This window comes from Homo sapiens, chromosome 4 (assembly GCF_000001405.40).
Source record: "Homo sapiens chromosome 4, GRCh38.p14 Primary Assembly".
NCBI lineage: Eukaryota > Metazoa > Chordata > Mammalia > Primates > Hominidae > Homo > Homo sapiens.
Window position 1 is genome coordinate 55,559,422 of NC_000004.12, and position 24,202 is coordinate 55,583,623.

A 24,202-nucleotide genomic window follows, 5' to 3' on the forward strand; every position below is an offset into this window, starting at 1 on the left:
CAGACATATATGAAATAAGAGATTCTGAATACTATGGTTGAGATTTTTAAAAAAGCAAGTTGCAGAATGATACTACAATATAATGCCCTTTATTAAATACTTTCAATTTTGCAATTAATTATTCCTTCTATTTCTATAGATATACTTAAGTTAAAGCATAACAAGAAGACCAGATAGTTCTTTTTAAAATTAAAAATAGAATTACCATATCATCTAGCAATTCCATTTCTGTGTATATTCCCAGAAGAATTAAAAACGGAGATGAGCATATTATTTGTACACACATGTTCATAACAGCATTATTCACAGTACCCAAAAGGTGAAAACAACCTAGGTGTCCATTAACAGATGAAGGGATACACAAGATATACTTAAAAAGGAAAAAAATTCTGATAACATGCTACCACATGGATGAAACTTGAGGACATTATGCTAAGTGGAATAAGTCAGTCACAAAGGACAAATACTATATGATTCCACTTATATGAGGTATCTAGAGCTGTCAAATTCATAGAGACAGAATCTAAAAAGGTGATTGCCTGGGCTGAAGCAAATGGAGACTGAGGAGTTTTTAACGAGTACAGAGTTTGTTATGTAAGATGAAAAAACTTCTGGCGATGGATGATGGTGATGGAATGTGAATGTGCTTAATTCCACTGAACTGTATGCTTAAAAATAGTTAAGATGGTAAATGTTATGTTATGCATATTCTACTACAATGTTTAAAATATACCAATAAATTTCATTGATATCTGTCTCAAAAAAAAAGGGGGGGGGGACGAGATACACACTAAATTCGTGATAGTTTTTGCCCCTAAGGAAGCAGGGAGGGGAACAGGACTAAGTATGGAAATACAGGTAACTTCAACTTTATCTGCAATGTGTTTTTAAAAGATAAGCAAACAGGCCAGGCTTGGTGGCTCATGCTTGTAATCCCAGCACTTTGGGAGTCAAATGCGGGAGGATCACTTAAGCCTAGGAGTTTGAGACCAGCCTGGGCAATAAAGTGAGACCCCATCTCTACTATAAAATTTTTCTTAAAAAATAGTTAGGTGTGATGGCAGGCACCTGTAGTCCCAGCTACTCAGGAGGCTAAAGTGGGAGGATTACTTGAGCCTGAGAAGTCAAGGTTGCAAGTGAGCCATAATTGTGCCACTGCACTCCAGCCTGGGTGACAGAGTGAGATGCTATCTCAAAAAAATAGCTGAAGCAAGCATAAACAAATGTTCACATTTGTTACTTTTGGTAATTACTATGGTCTTGAATGTTTATGTCTCCCCAAAATTCATATGTTGAAATCCTAATGCCCAAGGTGATGGTATTAAGAGGTGGGGACTTTGGGAGTGGTTAGACCATGAGGGCAGAGAACTCATCAATGAAAGAGTGAACAGAGAGGCCAAAAGGAGCTTGTTTGCCCCTTCCACCACGTAAGGTCAATGAAGAGGTCACCATCTATGAAGAACAGGCCCTCAGAAAACACCAAATCTGCTGGCGCCTTGATCTGGGACTTCCCAGCCTCCAGAACTGTGAGACATTAATATAAAGTTTCTTGTTTATAAGCCACCCAGTTTACAGTATTTTTATTATAGCATCCCAAACAGAGAAGACAATAATGATTTCATGAATGCTTACTATATTATTATTCTATGTATTCTTTTATGTACTCTTATGTTGTTAATTTTTTTAATTAAAAAGAAAAGGTCCAAGCTACAAAAAACAAGGTGGTGAAACAAGGAAAGGCCTTAGAAGATTAAAAGAAAAATGGGAAAATTCTGAAACAAAGTATCAGAGGTCTCGGTAAGGGCAAAAACAGCTTTGGGGGACTGACAGAGTCAAAGAATACCTATTGAAAACAACCAGCCAGGGGCAGAGGCTCACGTCCGTAATCCCATCACTTTTGGAGGCTGAGGCGGGCGGATCTCCTGAGATCAGGAGTTCAAGACCAGCCTGGCCAACAGGGCGAACCCCCATCTCTACTAAAAATTACAAAAATTAGCCAGGTGTGGTGGTGGCCACCTGTAATCCCAGCTACTCGGGAGGCTGAGGCAGGGAGAATTGCTTGAACCAGGGAGGCAGAGGTTGCAGTGAGCCAAGGTCATGCCACTGCACTCTAGCCTGAGTGACAGAGCAAGGTTCTGTCTCAAAAACAAACAAACAAACAAACAAAAAACAAAAACCGAAAACAGCCACTCATGATGACTTTAACACAATGGTGAGAGAAAATGATTTTTAGTTTTGTAAAATCGAGTTAAAGCAGTGCCAAAAAATGAATATATCAAAGAGATGACCTTAGGAAGTAAAAACAATTAAAGAAGATAAAAATAGAAAGTCTTGTGTTGTGTGCTAAGAAAAATAAAGTAATAGGAGGCATGGTCCATGCACCTTTTAGGAAGATAAAATTCAAAGGGAATTGATTCATCAACAAAATTAGATATCATGCTAATAAGTGAAAAGAAAGATGCATTGAGAATATACACTACAGAAATTCAGTAGAGAAGAAAAAGATTACGAATTGGTCCAATATTACATAATGCAGTAAATAAAAATTGAACAGACTCATGAAGGAATAAACTTTGGATTTGGATAATAGAGAAAGGTAGAATACATTAGGTACAAGCAGAGAATGTGTAAAAAAAGTGTGATGGCACAAATGAGTAATGTCTATTTGTGGGTTGTGGCTGAAGACCAGCCTAACAGGAACAGAAACTAGCAAGCACTGAGAAATATAGTTGGAGAGGTGGGTGGAGATTCTAAAGGAGAAGATTCTAAATTTTTAATTTACTTGAGACAGGGAACTATTAAGGATTTTAAGCAAGGGGGTGTTATTAGAGTATTACTATAGGAAAATTAATCTGGAGGCATATAAAAAGAGACTAGAAGCAAGGAAAAAACCTTGGTACTAAGGAAGTAAGCTTTCAGGATGCTTGTTAGTTTGCAGATGTTTTCACCTATCATTTTTATAAACAAAATTTGTAACATTACCTTCCAGCTTGAGATTTATCCCTCCACATTCTATAATTCCAATGAATTTGGCTTCTATCTGACCATTTTTATACACAAAAATTGTTGGTAAACAATTGTCATGGTAGTGTTGAATACAGCTATTCACGATGGCTTTAACAAATTTAGTTTCTGGAAACTTTCTTGCTAGAAGACTAAGATGCTGGTTAACCAACAAACACATTGGGATGCTAAAAAGAGAAACAGTACACACAATCTTTAATAAATGGGCTACTCATCTCAGTCTAATGAAATAAGTAAAATATCGCCATGGCAAAAATATATCTTAGATTAATATAAAAGCACATTATTATCATCCTCTATTGTTACCTTTAGCAATGAAGAACTGTATGTAGAGTCCTCTGGTTTTTATTGCAAGCACCATTATAACCCGGGAATGAAGCTAGCTACCATGGCAAGCTGATGCTTAACTTAGGGAAACTACATTCAACTGAGCATCAGTTTGGTTCAAGCAGGTACCCAGTTTGTAGAAAAAAAAAAAAAAAACAGGACACTTCTAGGAAATCCTTTGCAGTTCTGAGTTGAAACAAAAGGATCCCAACCCTTGCTGCCATCATGAGCTTCTTTCCATGTAATGAGTTTACCATATCCAGAACTGTCTTTCCTGACTCCAACAAACTTCTTCCAGTCTTTGGAATCCCACTCCATGCCACATCCTGGTGGCCCATTATCCAGAACTATTCCTTACCAGAAATTTAATATTGATTGGAAGTGTGACCACAACCTCAGCTCTTCCTGCTTTATCACTTAATTCTCATCACACTCCTTGATCGATTAGTCCCTTTTCTCCCAGTTTATCCAACTTTCAAGTGAATCCCTTCACCTCTACTTTATTCCACATTCCTTCCACCTCCCTTGGGATCTTTGTTGGTTATTCTGCTTCCCTCTTTTCCTGTTTTCTCATCTTTCCTTCTCCAAAGACTCTTTCTCCATTTTACATAAACATATTCAATTTGAGCCGGGTGCAGTGGCTCAAGCCTATAATCCCGGCACTTTGGGAGGCCAAGATAGACAGATCATTTGAGGTCAGGAGTTCGAGACCAGCCTGGCCAACATGGTGAAACCCTGTCTCTACTAAAAAATGCAAGGTTTTAGGGGCCAAGGGAAAACTTTGCCCTCCAAAGGAAGGTTCACTGAAAGATCAACTAACAAAAGGCAAATTAATTGGAGAAAAGGCACACAAGTTTATTAACATGTACATGAGAGAGGAAACACAAAGTGATTACCCAAACCCTCCAATGGGGGACAGAAGCTTATATGCCATCTTGAGGCTACAGAAAGAATGGAGGCTCTGGCATGGCCAAAAACATGTTATTGGGGTAAATCAGGTTACAGTGACAAGACAGGCTATGGGAGGCAGAGAAGAGGAGGCCTGGATAGCAAAAGTGGTGTTGTTATGTAGATGAAACCTTACAGGTAGCAGCCCTCAAAGAGAATAGATGGTAAATGTTTCTTTTAGACCTTTCAAGGCATCAGATTCTCAGTTAACTTTGGTCCTAAATCAGACAAGGGAAGGCCCTCAGAGAAGGCCTGACTGCATGAATGCAGATTTTCTCTACAGTTGCAAATCCCCTCCACAAAAGACAGCTTTACGGGGTTACTTCAGTTTTGCTGGCTCTCTGAACACCCATCTCAAAATATGTCAAGAAAGTATATCTTAGGGTAAAATGTTTTGATTTCCTTCAAGGTGAAATGAGTCCACTAATATCTAATTCAGAGAAATTTTATAATTTTCATTAGAAATTTTGTCAGAATGAAAGCTCAGTCAGTGGTACAACAGATATTTGTGGGGTGGGTCAGTAGTGTGAATGGCAGAAGTCAGGTAGGTATTGGTGGTGGCAGTGAAAAGTATAGAATTAAGAGAATATTGCATAACAGATTGTGATGCAGGGAGAAAGGGTTGCCCGAAGACAGTTCTGACAGCAAGTAGTAGGGGAACAAATTTGGTGTTGGGGCTCAGGGCCAGAATTTTAACCCCAGAAGAGCTGTAAAATATGAGGCAGACCTCTAACATCACAAAACAAGTTAAGAGACTATTTATGGTATTCAAGCTTCAAAATATACACTTGGGTATAAGAATAATATAAAAGCCCCAAATTAGAATTGGGGTACAGGCATAGATTAAATAGAATTGGGGTACAGGGTAAGATTAAATAAAACCAGAAACAAGACTGACTTAAAGCTAAATCATTGGGCTTACTGGCCCAGGTTGAGTTAGATCCCTCTAAGGCACCTTAAGGAGGCTAAGCCTTCATTCCGATAAAAAGTGGGTCTAATCCTATCAATTTGATGGCAAAGAGCCATTGAAATTATAGAATTTAGGAGCCTAATCAAAAAACAAACACCACCCTTTTATAAAATTGATAGAAAGTAGCTAAAAATGAAACCACCTTTGTAAAAATTTTAACAGTGAGAGAATTATGACAGTGAAAGAGATTTGATCTAACCAACTCCCATCTTCCCTTTAACCTCCAAACTGCCCCGAATCATTCCTGGACTTGGGCCAAGCTAACTCTGGGAGAATTTCAGTTTACAGTTTAAATGATAATAGCTTTTCCCCAAAACTAAAACCACCTTTGTAAAGCTAAGGGAAGACTAGGTTAGGAGGATGAGAGGAGCCTGAACTCTGCTATGATACACACTTAAACAATTACCAGCCATTATTCTGGAAGTCACAAGATTTGCAACTTCCTCAATTACTCCTGCAGGTAACAACACTATTGTAGAACCTAAGATTGGTCTTTTTTATATATCTTTTAAGGTTTTTGCATTTCTGATGACTGATGCCTCTACCTGGACCCACCAAGCAGTACTGTGGCCCCATACAGAAGCAGACTTAGCACACATGAGGACTGTATTAGTCCGTTCTCATGCTGCTAATAAAGACATACCCAAGGCTGGGTAATTATAAAGGAAAGAGGTTTAACTGACTCACAGTTCAGTATGGCTGGGGAGGCCTCAAGAAACTTACAATCATGGCAGAAGGGGAAGCAAACACATTCTTCTTCACATGTGGCAGCAATGAGAAGTGCTGAGCAAAAGGGGAAAAGCCCCTTATAAAACCGTCAGATCTCATGAGAACTCACTCATTATCACAAGAACAGCATGAGGGTAACTGCCCCCATGATTAAATTACCTCCCGCCATGTCCCTCCCACGACAAATGGGGGTTATGGGAAATACAGTTCAAGATGAGATTTAGTGAGGACACAGCCAAACCATATCAAGGATCATTTTCTACATCCCTATGATTGCATTCCCAACCAATCAGCAGTACCCATTCTGTGGTCCTTGAAAAACCTCAGCCTCCAAATTTTGGGGGAGGCTGATTTGAGTAATAATAAAACTCTAGTTTCCTGTTCAACTGGCTCTGCATGAATTAAACTCTTTATTGCAATTCCCCTGTCTTGATAAATTGACTCTATATGGGCAGCAGGCAAAATGAACCCATTGTGTGGTTACAAAAACATAAATTAACAGCTGTCCTTCAACTTTACAATATTAAAAAGCTGTAAGTAAATCCATTTTTCTGTTTTTTTTTTTTTTTTTTTTTTTTTGAGATGGAGTCCTGCTCTGTTGCCCAGGCTAGAGTACAGTGATGTGATCTCAGCTCACTGCAGAGCTGCCTCCCAGGTTCAAGCGATTCTCCTGCCTCAGCCTCCCAAGTAACTGGGATTATAGGGACACATCACCATGCCCGGCTAATTTTTTTGTACTTTTAGTAGAGACAGGGTTTTGCCATGTTGGCCAGGCTGGTCTCAAACTCCCGACCTCAGGTGATCCGCCCGCCTCGGCCTCTCAAAATGCTGGGATTACAGGCATGAGCCACCGAGCCTGGCCAGTAAATCCACTGTTAAAAACTAAAGTTTTCTAAAGAATATTTGTAACACAATTATTTTCTGTTATATTTTATAAATTTAGATTACTACAGATTAATTTTCAAAATATATGTTTTATACCAACACAGGAATGTATTTTCCTTTTTCTCTTTTTTTTTTTTTTTTGATTTGGAGTCTTGCTCTGTCACCCAGGCTGGAGTGCAATGATCTTGGCTCACTGGAACCTCCGCCTCCCGGGTTCAAGCCATTCCCCTGCTTTAGCCTCCCACATTGCTGGGACTACAGGCATGCGCCACCAAGCCTGGCTAATTTTTTTTTTGTATTTTTAGTAGAGATGGGGTTTCACCATGCTGGCCAGGCTGGTCTTGAACTCCTGACCTCAAGTGATCCGCCTGCCTCGGCCTCCCAAAGTGCTGGGATTACAGGCAATGAGCCACCGCACCCAGCCCCAGGAATGTATTTTCTTAATGTCCAGAAAACTAATATGTAACTACTTTAGAGTGGCCCAGAAAAACCTTCTGAGAAGGTTTACTTAAAGTATTATGAAACCACATCCTTCTTTTTGAGTCTATCAAAGCATACAACAATTTGAAGCAGACTAAATCACATTCAACCTCTTTATGAATTTTTAAAAAATTATTTCTAAAAACTAGTAATTTATCTGGAAGTAACCATTAAGCTAGATAATTTTACTTAGAAGCCATATCTACTCTGCTAACCACACAGGATCAGAAAAAACATTCAGTAAACCACTTCAGTATATAATATTTACCACAAACAGATCCTTGTTTTATAAATGTCCGTGTTTCTCATCCTTATTTGTGAGATCTACAAGCAGCATTTACAAACTGGTTAACCAAATAAATAGTATAGGTAATATGGAAGTGTGATTTCAGGAAATAACTTTTCTCTGAAGAATGCAAGTCCTTTTAAATGTTTACCCCCACGGAGTCATTAAAATGAGACAGCAGGCCAGGCACAGTGGTTCACGCCTGTAATCTCAATACTCTGGGAGGCTGAGGCAGGAGGATCACTTGAAGCCAGGAGTTTGAGACCGGTCTGGGCGACATAACAATACCCCATTTCTACAAAAAAATTTTAAAACCTGGCCAGATGTGGTGGTGCAGACCTGTAGTCCAAGCTACTTGGAGGACTGAGGCAGGAGGATCATTGCTTGAGCCCAAGCATTCAAAGCTGCATTGAGCTACAATTGTCACTGTACTCCAGCTTGGGAAACACAGTGAGACCCTGTATCAAAAATAAAAAGAGAGAATCACAACCTACTCCCTCCTTGACCTATGTATTCATCTCTTGAAACTGCTTGCTATTGCTTGCAAGTAGCTATGAATCAACCCAATAATACTTCAGACACTGTAACTTTTATAGCTTAACAATATATTGCCAGTCACTAATCAATGTTATTTCCTTAAGCCAAAGAGAATTCCTGACAAACAACTTTGTATCAGTCCACTCCCTGTCCTCCTTTTATGTCTTCACAAACCTGCTCATAACAAAGGCTAAAGGGAGATCATATCCAAAGGTACTTGGGTTTAGTCTTCTGGGCAGCTATCCTCACTTTGGCTCAAGTAAACTCTTTAAATTATATTTTGTGCCCCAGCCTCTTCCTTTTAGGTCAACACATTCTTTTAAGGACTTTAAAGCTACTTAAAAATTAATCTACCAAGAGTTTTAGTTATAATAAAATAACTTTTATGGGGCATTTTCTTTTATGGGGCATGTTGTCCTGTCAAAATTTGACTCAGGAACTGCGAAGTATAGCCATACAGGCTATACAGGGTTATATACAGGGCTATAATTTGCATAAATTGCTCTGTATATAATTTCCCTGAGGACCTAAAGATAAAAACATTTATTATTCAGAGATTGAGATAAGGACAGTGAAGGTTGCTGTCATGGCCTCTGTTCCTAGAATGGTTTATAGCCCTGAGGCAGAGGGGTAGGGACCTAAAGCTAGAAGGACTGAACGAGAGAAACATTCAAAAGTCTACTTTCCCCATTTACTAGGCAAGACTGGTGAGGCCTAGGGACAGTGGGTTATACTTAGTACAACCAGGTATTTTTAAATTAACTGTCTTGGAGGAATGGGGGAGTGCAGGGGTGCAGGGAAATTGTTCTATTAGAAGAGACTTCAGAGAGCTGATATATCTAAATGTGCTGCATAATTCTTGATTGACTCCTTGTCCAAAACATATGTATTCATAAAAGATATTTTTAAGTCAGTCGGGAAAATCTGAGTAAGGACGACGTATTAGATGGTATTAGGAATTACTGTTAATTTTGTTAGGTGAGAAAATGGTATTGTGGTTATGTAGAAGAACGTTCTTGAAGGGATTCATAGTATACCACACCAAAATAAGCCACTCTGGCATAAGGATTATTTTGAGCTAAAGACAACTGAAAAGAAACAGACACAAGAAAAATATTCTCCACCCAGTAACATCCTCACTCCTGTCTCTACCAGGAAGGGCAGGACACTCTTAATCACTGGATAAAGCTCTAGATTCTTATCATTCCAGTGAGGCACCAGAGGAATCTATATAACAAACCTTGCTAAAACAACCTTTAATTTTGATTAAATTAAACACTCTAAATATCGACCATATAGATTCAACAAGTTGAATACATAGTTTCACCCATGTATTTACCATCCCACAGTTTGTCACTCCTAGAAGCTCAAAGACCCTTTCTGTTGTCTTATCAATTCTCTACAAATTTGCTGTTCTTTTGTTAAGAATCTATATAAGCCCAAGTTCTAACCACCCCTTTGAGTTACTTATCACTGAGCTCTCCTATGTGTATGTGTAATGCACTTGTAAATAGACTTCTGTTTGTTTTTCTCTTGTTAACCTGTCTTTTGTCAGTCCAACTTGCAGGGCCCCAGCCAATAAACCTAAAATGGGTAGAGGAAATATAATTTTTTTTTCTTTCCAACACCTTTATGTTTTGAAGGTGCATGCTGAAGTACACAGGAATAAATCATCATGCTATGTTCAGTTTACTTTCAGTTCACTTTCTACAAATGCAAATATACACACACACAGAAACAGTTATATAAATATGGCAGAAGGTTACTTGTTGAATCTGTATGGTCGATATTTAGAGTGTTCATTTTCTCATTCCTTCCACTTCTCTGTTTTTGAGATATTCTATAATAAAAAGTTTTTAACAAAACTACCAAAGAGTGCTTATTTTTCTAAAAAGTGTGACAAGTTCCTGAAATTAGAAATGAAAAGATCTTAAAATACCTAATTTAATCCCTGAAGCCAATGACTATCAAAACCTCTATGGATGTATATGTGTGCAATATATAGTTGCTTTTTCTTGAGTACTGTTATATACTTTGTAAAACCTTAAAACCAAAAATATGTCTTTTAAAATAGTAGTATATTAACATTTTGAAATATTATGGTAATTACCTTGATCTGTATAGATGAATTATAACCCACACATCTTCTTCTGCATTTGTGACTTCATTCACATACTGATTTCCAGAAATTTCTCTTAATTCTCCAAATTTTTGTTTTTTCTTAAGAGCTTTCCATTCCTGTAACCGCTTCTTTCTAATTAAAACATGAAATTAAATTACATAAGAATACTGTCATATTCTTAAGGTCATTCTCATATGTAATAACAATTTAGGGCAATGAATATAATGCCTATCCATATCAAACACTTTAAATGATGGGATAACCATGAATGATCTTATAAAACCAATTTCTCTTTTTATATGCAAATTTGTGTTATCATGGTTATTGGAAAGTGTAAGAAGTTTGCTATTGACTTTTAAATTTGTTTGTATTTAAGACTAGGTTTAAATCATAGCTATAGAGAGTTTATCTAGATGTTGTGCCAACAAATTCTCATGTACAAGTTGAATACTTCATTAAGGAGAATAATGATATCCAACATTAACCAAGTGCTTGCTATGTTACCAGGCACTATTTTAAATACATAACATTAATGAACTTAATCCTTGTAAAAATGTTACAAAGCCAGTACTATTATTATCCCCATTTAAATGTTAGTAACAGTCATGCTAAGATGATCTTCACTTCGAAGACTTTGTGGATATTTGTAATTACTTGTTATAAATATAGATTTATTATAGACAGAGAGGTAGTAGAGGAGAGTGATTATGAGCTTGGATTCTAAGCTCAGACTACACTGGGTTTAAATGCCAGTTCCAGTACTTGTTAATAGCATAAACTTGGGCAAGTTGTTTAATCTCTCTACACTTCAGTTTCCCTAACTGTACATGGGAATAATACTAATAGCTACTCACAAGGGATTACTGGGAAAAAAATGAAATAATACATGTAAATTTCTTAGCAGGGTGCCTGACACACTGTGAGCATTCAATAAATGTTGCTACCTATTTATCTATCCATAGAGAACCTTGAAACTGTTTAAAAAACCAACTCTCTCAACATTTACATAATTTGACAATTTCGCTGTTGAACGCCTGGATTCATGAAGCAAATCTAAATGGTTTCTGACTGTCTGCAAGTTTATTAACATTTAATGATTCTATACCTCTAAGTTTGCTGGAAGTATTTACTCCTTTTCTTTCTCTGTGTATTAACCATATTTTCTTATTTTATGTATTCTTGATGCTCTGGCATCTGACACATTGCTGATTCTGTAGAGTCTGCCCCTCCCAGGGCTAGTGAACTCCATGAAATAGCAAACACTGTTCAAACGCAAATCAATCTAGGGCCCATACCCTCAATCACTTCATTTATCAGACTGAGCCATGATCCCCTGCCCTAATCATTCCAGGGCCAGGTACCAAACAACTAGAGATAGCCTCTACAGCCCAGAGCCCACCAAAATTATTGAAACTAGCCAATCCTAACTCTGCTTACCCTGCCTTGCCATGTGTTTCCCACAGAAACCATAATGGAAGCCTTATGCCCATGCTTTCCCCTTGCTCCTTCTGACTTCTGATCAATTCAGGTGCTTCACTGCATGGCCCCTGTGTGGCATGATGTGGCATGCACCCCTCCCTTGGAAACTGTGAGTAACCAACTATCCTTTCAATAGCAACCATATCCTGACACACTTGAATAAAAACAAAACCCTGGGTATATTTTAAAACATTTTTAGCTGGGCGCAGTGGCTCACTCCTGTAATCCCAGCACTTTGGGAGGCCGAGGCGGGCAGATCACGAGGGCAGGAGATCGAGACCATCCTGGCTAGCATGGTGAAACCCCGTCTCTACTAAAAATACAAAAAATTAGCCGGGCATGGTGGCGGGCGCCTGTGGTCCCAGCTACTCGGGAGGCTGAGGCAGGAGAATCACTTGAACCCGGGAGGCGGAGGTTGCAGTGAGCTGAGATTGTGCCACTGCACTCCAGCCTGGGCGACAGAGTGAGACTCCATCTCAAAAAAAAAAAAAATTTTTGACCTTATTTCCCATGCTAGAAACATTTCAAGTAAAATCTCTTACTTTACATAACCAGTAATCCAAGCAAAATCAAACCCAGAGGAGAATGCCAAGGATAGTAACCCAAGGCTGGGGACCTCTCATAGTTTTCAAATTGAAGTCCTTCAATTTTTCCTCCACTGGCCCAGATATTTGGAACCTAGAGTTACTCCACAGTTCTTATGGGAGCCCTACTTTGTTTGCACCGAGTATCTAACTTCCCGCAATTTGATCTTACTGGCTTAATATCATTCAGAAATTTCAAAATATTCTTGTTCCAATGATGACACCATGCTCTAATGGTGCAACTATCAACAACTTCCCTTCCTCCTCTCCTCTTCCACTTCTTCCTCCTTCTCATTTCTCTGTTATTTCAGTGGAATTGGGCAGGGGAGAACAGTAAATACATGGGCTGGTTTTGCCATTAGAAGTTCAAACAGTGTTCAATGGCCTGCGTTTTTCACCTAACAAGCCTATCAGTTGGGATTCAGTTGCATAAACAGAAGGCCCACTAGCTATTTTAAGCAGAAAAGAACTTAATATGGGGGGAATTAAATGCTTTATCAACCCAATAAAAAGAAGGAGCAGGCTCTAGACTGGGATACCAGGAATGACTCCCAGAACAACATGCAAAACTGGTATGCCAAGGCTTTCTCTACCACAATCCAGAAACTAGGGAATCTGGAACTACCACACTATTGTTGGCTTTACTATCAAACTATTCTGAGAATCAGAAAGCCAGTGTAACAACTTTTGTCTCTAGAAACCTATCTCCTTAGTAACAATCTGAGGATGAGAAACTGTTGCCAAAATAATGGCTCCATTGGATACTATGCTCCACACCTGGATGAGGGGATCAATCATATCCCAAACCTCAGCATCATGCAATATACCAGTGTAACAAGCCTGCATGTGCATCCCCTGAATCTACAATAAAAGTTGAAATTATAAAACAAAAAAAGAATAATGGCTCCAAAACCATGATGCAAATTCTAGATTAGTACCAACTAAATGGATGCTTTGTGTGTTTCTTCTTCTTCTTTTTTTTCTTTGGGATGGAGTCTGTCTCTGTCGCCCAGGCCGGAGTGCAGTGGGTGATCTCGGCTCACTGTAAGCTCCGCCTCCCGGGTTCACGCCATTCTCCTGCCTCAGCCTCCCGGGTAGCTGGGACTACAGGCGCCCGCCATCACAACAGGCTAATTTTTCTATTTTTAGTAGAGACAGGGTTTCACCGTGTTAGCCAGGATGGTCTCGATCTCCTGACCTTGTGATCTGCCCACCTCGGCCTCCCAAAGTGCTGGGATTACAGGCATGAGCCACCGCGCCCGGCTGTGTGTTTCTACTTCTTTCCCCACTTAATTCTGAATTCAAATCCCCGGTGAAATGTCTAAATCATATTCTTTACCTTTATTGCAATAAAGTCTGAGAAATATCCTTTTAGTTTTTTAGCTTCCATGGTACTGGAATACACCAAGAGAAAGGGGAATATATGTCAAAAAGGCCAATTTAGTATTATATGCCACAAACAATATACTGCAGATTTGTTTATTGCTGTGTATAAATTTTTTTCATCTTTTTAGCTAGAAGAGCTTCTGAGCTGACTCCCTTGTTATTTTACAGCTAATTATCTACACAATAACATTTGTCTCTCCTTTTTTGAATATTACATCTTTTTTTAAAAGAAATCTTGTCCGAAGGTACTGGCTAGGACCTATTGTATGGTGTTTAATAACAGAGATGAGGCCTGGCGTCATGGCTTAAGCCTGTAATCCCAGCACTTTGGGAGGCCAAGGCGGGCAGATCACTTGAGGTCAGGAGTTCGAGACCAGCCTGGCCAACGTGGTGAAATGCTGTCTCTACCAAAAAATACAAAAATTAGCCGGGCGTGGTAGCATGTGCCTGTAGTCCCAGCTACTCCAGAGACTGAGGTAGGATAATCACTTGAGCCCAGGAGACAGAGGCTGCAGTGACCTGAGACTGGGCCACTGCACTCCAGCTGGGGCAACAGAGCAAGACTCTGTCCTCCTCTCCCCCACAAAAAAAAACAGACATGATAGTGAACAATTCTTCTTTTTCTCATAATAGTAACTTTTAATGTTTGTTAAAATTTTTATCAAGTAAAAAAAAAGTTCCATTACTTTAGCTTATCACTAGTTTTTGTTTGTTTTTTGTTTGTTTTTTTTTTTGAGACAGAGTCTCGCTCTGTCACCAGGCTGGAGTGCAGTGGCATGGTCTCGGCTCACTGCAACCTCTGCCTCCCAGGTTCAAGCGATTCTCCTGCCTCAGCCTCCCATTTATCACTAGTTTTTAAAAAATATTTTCTTGCTGTTTTGTTTTTACTTTAAATGAGGAATTTGCTTTAAATCAGCACTAGCAAGATAAGTACAGAATTTCTTAAGAACAAGTAATATTTTTAAACATTCAGGTACAGAAATGAAAATAATGCCATAATTTGGTGGCAACTAAATTTGTGATTTTGATGTGGAATACACAAATAAAAGAATTTCTATTTATGGTATCGCTCTTTAATCTCTGTGGTAGAGACAGGTAGGGTGATCATCATTGTAGCTTTCTCTTCTGGGGAAGCTACATTTACCTGAAAGACTACATTTGCCAGCTTGCCCTGCAGTTGGATTAGGGTCATGAGACTAGATTACAACCCATGCCACATGAGTGAAAGTGATATATACATTTCAATGACTCACCCCTAAAATGTCCCACGTGACCTTTCACACTTTCTGATTCACACAACTGGAAGTAAAGGTTTCTGAGATTATGTAGCCCCTAATGAAACAGCCCAGGTTCATAGTCATTGCCTGGAGGAGAGCTACTCAGGAGAACTATAGGATAAGCATCAAAGAATTGTGCAACCATCACCACTACCTAATTCAAAAACATTTTCATCACTCCACAATAAACCCATATCTATTTGTAGTTACTCCCTATCCCCTATCCTAGGCCCTGGTAACCAATAATTGTGTTCTGTCTCTATGACTTTTTGTACTGGTTTCTTTCCCCTAGCATGTTTTCATCCATGTTGTAGAACATATTGGTACTTCATTTCATTTGAATTATGGCTGAATAGTATTCCACTGTATAGACTGATGACATTTAGATTGTTTCCATTTTGAGGTTATTGTGAATAATGTTGCTATGGCCATTCCTATACATGTTTTGAATTTTCTTGGGTATATACCTAGAAGTGGAATTGCTGGGTCATATGCTAACTTTATATTTAACCTTTTGAGGATCCACCAGACTGTTTTTCAAAGTGGCTGTACCATTTACATTCCCAGTGGCAATTCAAAGGGTTCCAATCCTCACCAATTTATTTATTATAACCACCTTAGTGTGTTTGAAGTAGTCTCCCAATGTGGGGTCTTCCCTAACTCCAATAGTTAGTGTCAGAATTGAAATGAATTGTAGAACACCCAGTTGGTGTCCAGAAAGTTGGAGAATTGGTTGTGGGGGACCCTGCCCCAACATTTCATGTCAGAAGTGGTATGAGTAAAACATACCAGAGGAACTAAAAAGTACAGTAACTAAAATTAAAAAAATACATTGGAGAGTTCCAAAAGCAGATTTGAGGAAGCAGAAGAATCAGCAACCTTGAAAATAGGACAACTGCAATGATCAAATCTGAGAAAAAAAAAAGAATGAAAAAAAAATAAACAGGGCCTAAAGGGTCTGTGGGATGATATAAAGCAGACCAACACACATGTTGTGTGAATCTCAACAGAAAAGAGAGAGAAAAGAAGCATAAAGGATATTTTAAGAAATAATGGCTGAAAACTTCCCAAATTTGATGAAATACATTAATCTATAAACTCAAGTGTCCAACAAACTCCAAGTATGATAAAAGTATGATAAACTCAAAGACACCCACATGGGGATACATCATAAACTACTGAAAGGCAAGAAGAGACAATGAGAATCTTGAAAGCAGAGAGAAGCAAGTCATCACATACAAGGGATCTTCAATAAGACTATCAGCCAGTTTCTCAGCAGAAATTTTGGAAGCCAAAAAGGCAGTGAGTTGATATTTTTTAAATGCTGAGAGAAAACAACTGTCAAAAGCAAGAATTCGATATTTGGCAAAACTATGCTTCAAGAATGAGGGTAAATTAATGCATTCCTAGATTTAAAAAATAAAAATAAAAACAAAAAAACACCAAGGGACCTAGACCTGCCTAAAAAATATGTGAAAGGAGTCCTTCAGGCTGAAATGAAAGAGCACCAGATAGTATCCAAAGCCACATGAAGAAACGAGGAACATGGTGAAGTTAACTACATAGGGAAATATAATAGCCAGTATTACCATTTGGCTTTTACATAGGAAAATGTAAAAGCCATTATTGGAATTGGTTTCTTTTTTTTTTCTTTTTGAGACAGTCTTGCTTTGTTGCCTAGGCTGGAGTGCCGTGGCGCGATCTTAGCTTACTGCAACCTCTGCCTCCCAGGTTCAAGCAATTCTCACACCTAGCCTCCTGAGTAGCTGGGATTACAGGGGTGTGCCACCATGCCCAGCTAAATTTTTTGTATTTTTATTAGAGACGGGGTTTCACCATGTTGGCCAGGCTGGTCTCAAACTCCTGAACTCAGGCGATTTGCCCACCTCTGCCTCCCAAAGCACTGGGATTACAGGCGTAAGCCATCATGCCTGGCCTAGAGTTGGTTTCTAACTTCTCTTTTTTTCCTGTATGATATAAAAGGTAAATACATAAAGCAATAATAATAATCTATGTTAATGGATGCACAATATATAACAATGTAGTCTGTGACACTAACAAATAAGGAGAAGGATGGAGATGTGTTTACATGCTATTGACTCTAAGTTGGTATTATTCAAAGTAGGCCACTGTAAGACGTTAATTTTTATCCTTAAGATAATCACTATGAAAAAACTAAAAGATACACAGAAAATGAAAGAAGAAGGAAATAAAAATGGTACACTAGAAAAATCAGCTAACTGTGAAAAGAAAGCAGTAATGGAAGACTTAAAAAACAAAAATTATGTAAGAAATACAGAAAACACCTAAGTAGCAGAAGCAACTCCTTTCTTAACAGTACTTACTTTAAATGTAAGTGAATTTTAAATTAATATGATTAATCTCCAACTAAAGGCAAAGACTGGCAAAACAAATTTTAAAAAAAGCATGTTCCAGATTTCTCAGTCCTTTTTTTTTTTTGAGACGGAGTCTTGCTCTGTCGCCCAGGCTGGAGTGCAGTGGCACAATCTCGGCTCACTGCAACCTCTGCCTCCCAGATTCAAGCAATTCTCCTGCCTCAGCCTCCCGAGTAGGTGGGATTACAGGTACAGGCCACTACACCCAACTAATTTTTGTATTTTAGTAGAAACAGGGTTTCACCATGTTGGCCAGGCTGGTTCGAACTCCTGACTCAGGTGATCCGCCTGCCTTGGTCTCCCAAAGTGCTGGGATTACAGGCATGGGCCACTGTGCCTGGCCTTCTCAGGCCTCTTTTATAAGAGCATTAATCCCGTTCATAAAGGGGTAGCCCTCATGACCTAATTACCTCCCTAAGGCTCCACCTCTTAATGCCATCACATTGGGAGGGGATTAGGTTTCAACATATGAATTTGGGGGGGACACAAACATTCAGACCACAGCACCATCATTTAGTGGTTTTTATGGAGGTTTCATTAGATAGGCATGATTGACTAAATCGTTGGCCACTGGTGATTAACTCAATCTCTAGCCCCTCTCCCCTCTCCAGAGAGCAGGGAATAGTGTTAAAAGTTCTAACCTTCTAATCACATGGTTGGTTCCTCTGGCAACCAGCCCTCATCCTAAAGCTACTAGGATCCCCTCCACCAAGGATCATCTCATAAGCATACCAAAGGTACTTTTATCACCTAGCAAATTCCAAGTATGTTTGTGTCAGGAACTGGGGACAAAGATCAGATATATATTTCTCATTATCACAGTTCCAGAATATCTTTTATTCCTGTTTATAACTTCTATTTCTTTATTGATATTCTCTTTTTGATCATACATTATATTCCTATCTTTTTAGCTCTTTAAGCATCCGTAAGATAGTTGTCTTAAAGTCTTTGTCTAGTAAGTCTGACTTCTGGGCTTCCTCAAGTACATTTTCTGTCAGTATATTTTGTTCCTTTGAATGGACTATACTTTCTTGTTTGTGTATGCCTTGTGATTTTTGTTGAAAACTAGATATTTGAATCCTATAATGTGGTAACTTTGGAAATAAGTTCTCCTCCTTTGCTGGGGTTTTGTTTTTGTTTTTGTTTTAATTGTTGTAGGCTGTCTTTGTGCTGGCGATCATTCTGAGGTAGAAGCTTTAAGGTCTTCTCAGGTATTTTTTGAGCCTGCATCTTCCCCGGAGTAAATGCACTGGCTTTCTATATTTTCCCAAAAGCACAGTTTGTTTTGAATCTTTAAAAAAGGTTATAGCTCTTTTAAATTCTCTGATAGCTGCCTGAGCCAGTGGGAGTTCACACAATGGCAGTGAGCCTCTGTCCCTGTACATCCATGTTCAGAAGGAGCAATCTGTAATAAGAACACAGAACCCCAATATTTGGAGGAAAAGGTCCTTATTGTCCACCCTGGCTCCAGCAAGCTGTGTCAGAAATACAGGTTGTCAGCTGCCTGTCATGGAGCTAGGGGTTGAGCATGAACAGCTGCTACTGAACTGAGGGCTGAAATCAACTGATACTGCCATTTACCAGCCAAGTTTTCACTTGGAAACTACAAGCATTCAATATTCTCCAGAGTACTAAAACAGTCACTTCAGACAGTTCCTGCTAGTACAATCTTTGATTAGGTAGAGATGTATTTTTGGAGTTCCCTATTCTGCTATTTTCCCTGATGTGTCATCAGTGGGTTTTTTTTTTTAATGAGTTCTTCAATTAGGGTTTATTTGAAGTTTTCTTATAATTAAAGTTATGCATTACTGAAAATGATACCACAGAGGTGATATGTCCTTCTCAGTACAACATACCAGGGGTTACTTGATCACCTCCCAGCATATTTTACTGGTGATATTAACCTTGATCATCTGCCTAAGATAGTATCTGCCTATAAACTTACTATTTCCTCCTTTATAATTACTAAATATTTGGGGAAGAATTCTTTGAAATTATGCAATATCCTGTTTGTGTTTAAACTTTCAACCAATCATTTTAGCATCCATCACTGGATCTTACCCATAGGAAATTACCACTGTTCTGATGGTGATTTTTCTATTTCTCTAATTTCATTTACACTTATTAATTAAAACTCTTCTGTAAGGGAGAGAGATTACTTCTTCCAAATTTGTTCATGTATTAAGTTATTTATTTATATCACTATGGACTTTTATAAATTTATTTCATTATTTGCTTTACAATCCTATCATATAATTATTGATTTTGTTGTTCAAGTTGTTCTAACTTTGGCCCTTGGGAGATCTGTCCATTTGACTCCTGGGACTTTTTTTTTTTTTAAGTACTTCCTTACCTACTGGCAACATAAGATGCTTCATATTCATATTATACTTTCCTAACACACACCGTGGGATCAAGCAGTTCGCTAAGGAGCACTAATTCCTGTTATTAGAGAATAGTATTTATTTGTTTTTTGTTTGTTTGTTTGTTTGTTTGAGATGGAGTTTCACTCTTGTTGCCCAGGCTGGAGTGCAATGGCACGATCTTGGCTCACTGCAACCTCCACCTCCCAGGTTCAGCGATTCTCCTGCCTCAGCTTCTCAAGTAGCTGGGATTACAGGCATGTGCTACAACGCCTGGCTAATTTAAAGACACGGGTTTCATCATGTTTGCCAGGCTGGTTTCAAACTCCTGACCTCAGGTGATCCACCCGCCTTGGCCTTCCAAAGTGCTGGAATTACAGGTGTGGGTCACCGCACCCTGCCTCAGAAAGATCTGAGTGCTATATGTGCTCATTGCTCCTGGAGTATGGCTGTTGTAACTCCATTCACTGGTGGCTTTTGGTTTTTATTTTTGTTTTGTAGAGACAGGGTCTTACTATGTTGACCAGGCTGGTCTGTAACTCCTAGCCTCAAGCAATCCTCCCACCATAGCCTCCCAAAGTCTGAGATTACAGGCATGAGCCACTGTGCCCAGCCCCAATTCACTGGTTTTTTGTTTGTTTTTTTTTTCGAGGTGGAGTTTCGCTCTTGTTGCCCAGGCTGGAGTGCAATGGCGCAATCTTGGCTCACCACAACCTCTGCCCCACCGGGTTCAAGCGATTCTCCTGCCTCAGCCTCCAGAGTAGCTGGGATTACAGGCAAGCACCACCATGCCTGGCTAACTTTGTATTTTTAGTAGAGACGGGGTTTCTGCATGTTGGTCAGGCTGGTCTCAAACTCCCGACCTCAGGTGATCCGTCTGCCTCAGCCTCCCAAAGTGCTAGGATTACAAGCATGAGCCACTGTGCCTGGTCCACTGTTTTTTTATTGTTAAAATGATCTTGCATTCCTGCAATCAATACTACTTGATCAAGATTTATTATTTCCTTAAATTGCTGGACTTAATTTGCCAATATTTCCTTAAAGATTTTGTGTTTACAGTCATGAGGGATATTTGTAGTACTCTGTTTTAGTGATGTCTTTGTCTGGTTTTAGTATCAGGATAAATACTGGTCTTGTAAAAAGTACTTTAGAAATTAGAACAGGTTCATACATTTCCCAACTTATTTTAGTTGTGAAGTAAGTTGGGAAATTTATGAACCTGTTCCAGTTTCTAAAATAATTTAAGAATAGTAATTAATTATTCATGAAATGATAGTCACCTTTGACAGACATCATGCTAGAAGGAAAATCATGGCCATCTTTTTATTGGCCTCTTATTGCTATTTTCCACTTTAATCGTATGTAGCTTGATGAAGTTATATTGTACATGATTGGATAATTTTCTATTAAATCAAAGGCAAAATATTAAGAAAAAATGATGTAATGATGTAATAAAATTCCACCTTATATAAAGGGAGTTTCAAAATGTTACTTAAAAATTAGTTTTGTTCTTTGTAAAATCTATGTGACAAGACAAATCTCTTTAGTTTTATTCTTATTATACTTCATTCAAAAATTTATAATTAACCCAAATGAATCACTGTACCTATATGTTTCAACAGCCTGCATATCTTCTTCATCAAATTCATCTTCAGCTTCCTTTAGCTGTGCAAGAGTCATCTTTTCAAATGGTTTCACTAAAACAACATAAATTATAGATTATCAAATTGTTTAAAAATTTTTTTACTATACAGTCAATGTCTAGAAAAAAACCGTCTTATACAAAGGAGATCAACAGTATCTTTAAACAGCCGGGTGCGATGGAATCCCAGTACTTTGATAGGTCGAGGTGGGTGGATCACTTTAGGTCAGGAGTTCAAGACCAACCTGGCCAACATGGTGAAACCCTATCTCTACTAAAAATACAAAAATTAGTCAGGTGTGGTGGCAGGCACCTGTAATCCTAGCTACTCGGGAGGCTGAGGCAGGAGAATCACTTGAACCCGAATGGCTGAGTTTGCAGTGAGCTGAGATCGCACCACTGCATTCCACCCTGGCCAACAAAGTTAGACTTGGTCTCAAAAAAACAAACAAAAAAGAGTATCTTTAAACAAACATAAAGCAGCCAGCCACCAAAAAAAGCTATAAATATTATAGAAAGTATAATATTAAAGTATTACTCCCTCAAAGTTCATAGAACTGACAGGCTACATTTAAAACTAGGTATGAAAATCAATTAGATTTCATAAATTTAGATTTCCCTCAAGTACCTAGAAATCTTGATAAATAATACATACTATAAAGAATGATCAAAATAGATGGTAATAAGGCAGAGGGACATGGTGGGAGAAGAAAGCTCACTTGGTTACACACCAGGATATTTCAGCTCTGTTATTAGCATGTGATTTTCAACATGTGAAATTAGTCATTTTAGGTGTCATATCCAAATACTGAAAGTAGTTGAGGGGGGTTATATTAAATGTTTATTTGTTTTGTTTTTTGAGATGGAGTCTTGCTCTGTTGCCCAGAGCAGTGCAGGAGTGCAGTGGCACGATCTCAGCTCACTGCAAGCTCCATCTCCTAGGTTCATGCCATTCTACTGCCTCAGCCTCCTGAGTAGCTGGGACTACAGGCACCCACCACCACACCTGGCTAATTTTGTTTTTGTATTTTTAGTAGAGATGGGGTTTCACCGTGTTAGCCAGGATGGTCTCGATCTCCTGACCTCGTGATCCGCTGGCCTCAGCCTCCCAAAGTGCTGGGATTACAGGTGTGAGCCACCATGCCCAGCCTATACTAAATGATTTCTAATGTCCTCTCTCCCACTATGTTCATGAAATACCTTAGTACTAACTTAACTGTATTATTCCCATCATCCAGCCCACCAAATCTACGACCATACCCATTGCTTCTTTCTGTAAACGTAAAACCATTTCTTCAATTTCATCTTTTGACTCTTCTTTAGGAGGAAGAATGCCGAAATCTCTTAAAATGTCATTCCATTCTGTATCTTCATTGGGATCCTACACAAAAAGAAAAGAAAAGAAAATTAACATGGTTGTACACTTTAATATGTATTTGGAAAATTCATTAAGATGTAGCACTTCCAAGTATTCAATTGTTCATGAACTCTACAGTTAATTGGTTTTGAAGAATAAAGCAAAGTGACCTACTTTTTCCTGCTTCCCAGCACTAATGGGATTATATGCTCCACTCAAAATTTTAATAAAATATCAATTTAGAATACATATAGAGAATATTAAGGAAGTATCTCCTAAGTCATGGAAAATTTGCTGAAGACTGTATTGGGCAAAACCAATTCACATCATACACAAATACAGTTTGGTTTCTTTTTCTACAGAAGCATTCAAGACCATCAGATGAACTTCCTTTTTTCTTTTTTTTATTATACTTTAAGTTCTAGGGTACATGTGCACAATGTGCAGGTTTGTTACATATGCATACATGTGCCATGTTTGTGTGCTGCACCCATTAACTCGTCATTTACATTAGGTATATCTCCTAATGCTATCCCTCCCCCCTCCCCCAAGCCCATGACAGGCCCCGGTGTGTGATGTTCCCCTTCCCGTGTCCAAGTGTTCTCATTGTTCAATTCCCACCTATGAGTGAGAACATGTGGTGTTTGGTTTTTTGTCCCTGTGACAGTTTGCTGAGAATGATGGTTTCCAGCTTCATCCATGTCCCTACAGAGGACATGAACTCATCCTTTTTTATGGCTGCATAGTATTCCCTTTTATTTTATTTTATTTTTTTTGAGACAGAGAGATTCTTGCTCTATCACCCAAGCTGGAATGCAGTGGCACAATCTTGGCTCACTGCAACCTCCACCTCCTGGGTTCAAGTAATTCTCATGCCTCAGCCTCCTGAGTAGCTGAGACTACAGGCTTGCTCCACCAGGCCCAGCTAATGTTTGTATTTTTACAGGGTTTCCCCATGTTGCTCCAGCTGGTCTTGAACTCCTGGCCTCAAGTGATCCTCCCTCCTCAGCCTTCCAAACTGCTGGGATTATCTTTGCTAATTTTAAAATTGGGTTGTTTTCTTACTACTGTTATTTGAGTTCTGTATATATTTTAAGTAGTAATGCCATGTCAAGTGTATTGCTTGTAAATAGTTTTTCCCAATATATAGATTGTCTCTTCACTTTGTTAACTGTTTCCTTTGCTGTGCAGAAGCTTTTTAGTTCGATGTAATCTTGTCTATTTTTGCTTTTGTTGACTGAGCTTGGGGGATTAAATCCAAAAATTCACTGCTTGGACCAATAGTGTGTAGTTTTTCCCCTGTGTTTTCTTCTTGTATAATATTTTCACAATTTCAGGTCTTATATTTAAGTCTTTAATCCATTTTTAGTTGATTTTTATAGATGGAGTGGGATAAGGGTCCAATTTAAT

At 38.7% G+C, this 24,202-nt stretch overlaps 1 protein-coding gene across 4 annotated transcripts in view; it reads right to left on the reverse strand.

Annotated features, from left to right (window-relative positions):
- PDCL2 (phosducin like 2) overlaps positions 1-24,202 on the reverse strand; it is a 35,727-nt gene that overhangs the window by 2,903 nt on the left and 8,622 nt on the right. For 2 of the 4 annotated variants that reach the window (NM_152401.3, XM_011534374.3), the window contains exons 2-5: positions 22,696-22,816; positions 21,400-21,490; positions 10,297-10,440; positions 2,983-3,191 (exon numbers count right to left, since the gene is read on the reverse strand). In NM_152401.3, coding sequence (NP_689614.2) covers positions 2,983-3,191; positions 10,297-10,440; positions 21,400-21,490; positions 22,696-22,816 — 565 coding nt within the window. Of the gene's footprint in view, positions 1-2,982; positions 3,192-7,220; positions 8,108-10,296; positions 10,441-21,399; positions 21,491-22,695; positions 22,817-24,202 lie in introns of those variants that run through there. The other 2 variants (XM_047449616.1, XM_005265728.4) reach the window with 2 other exon arrangements.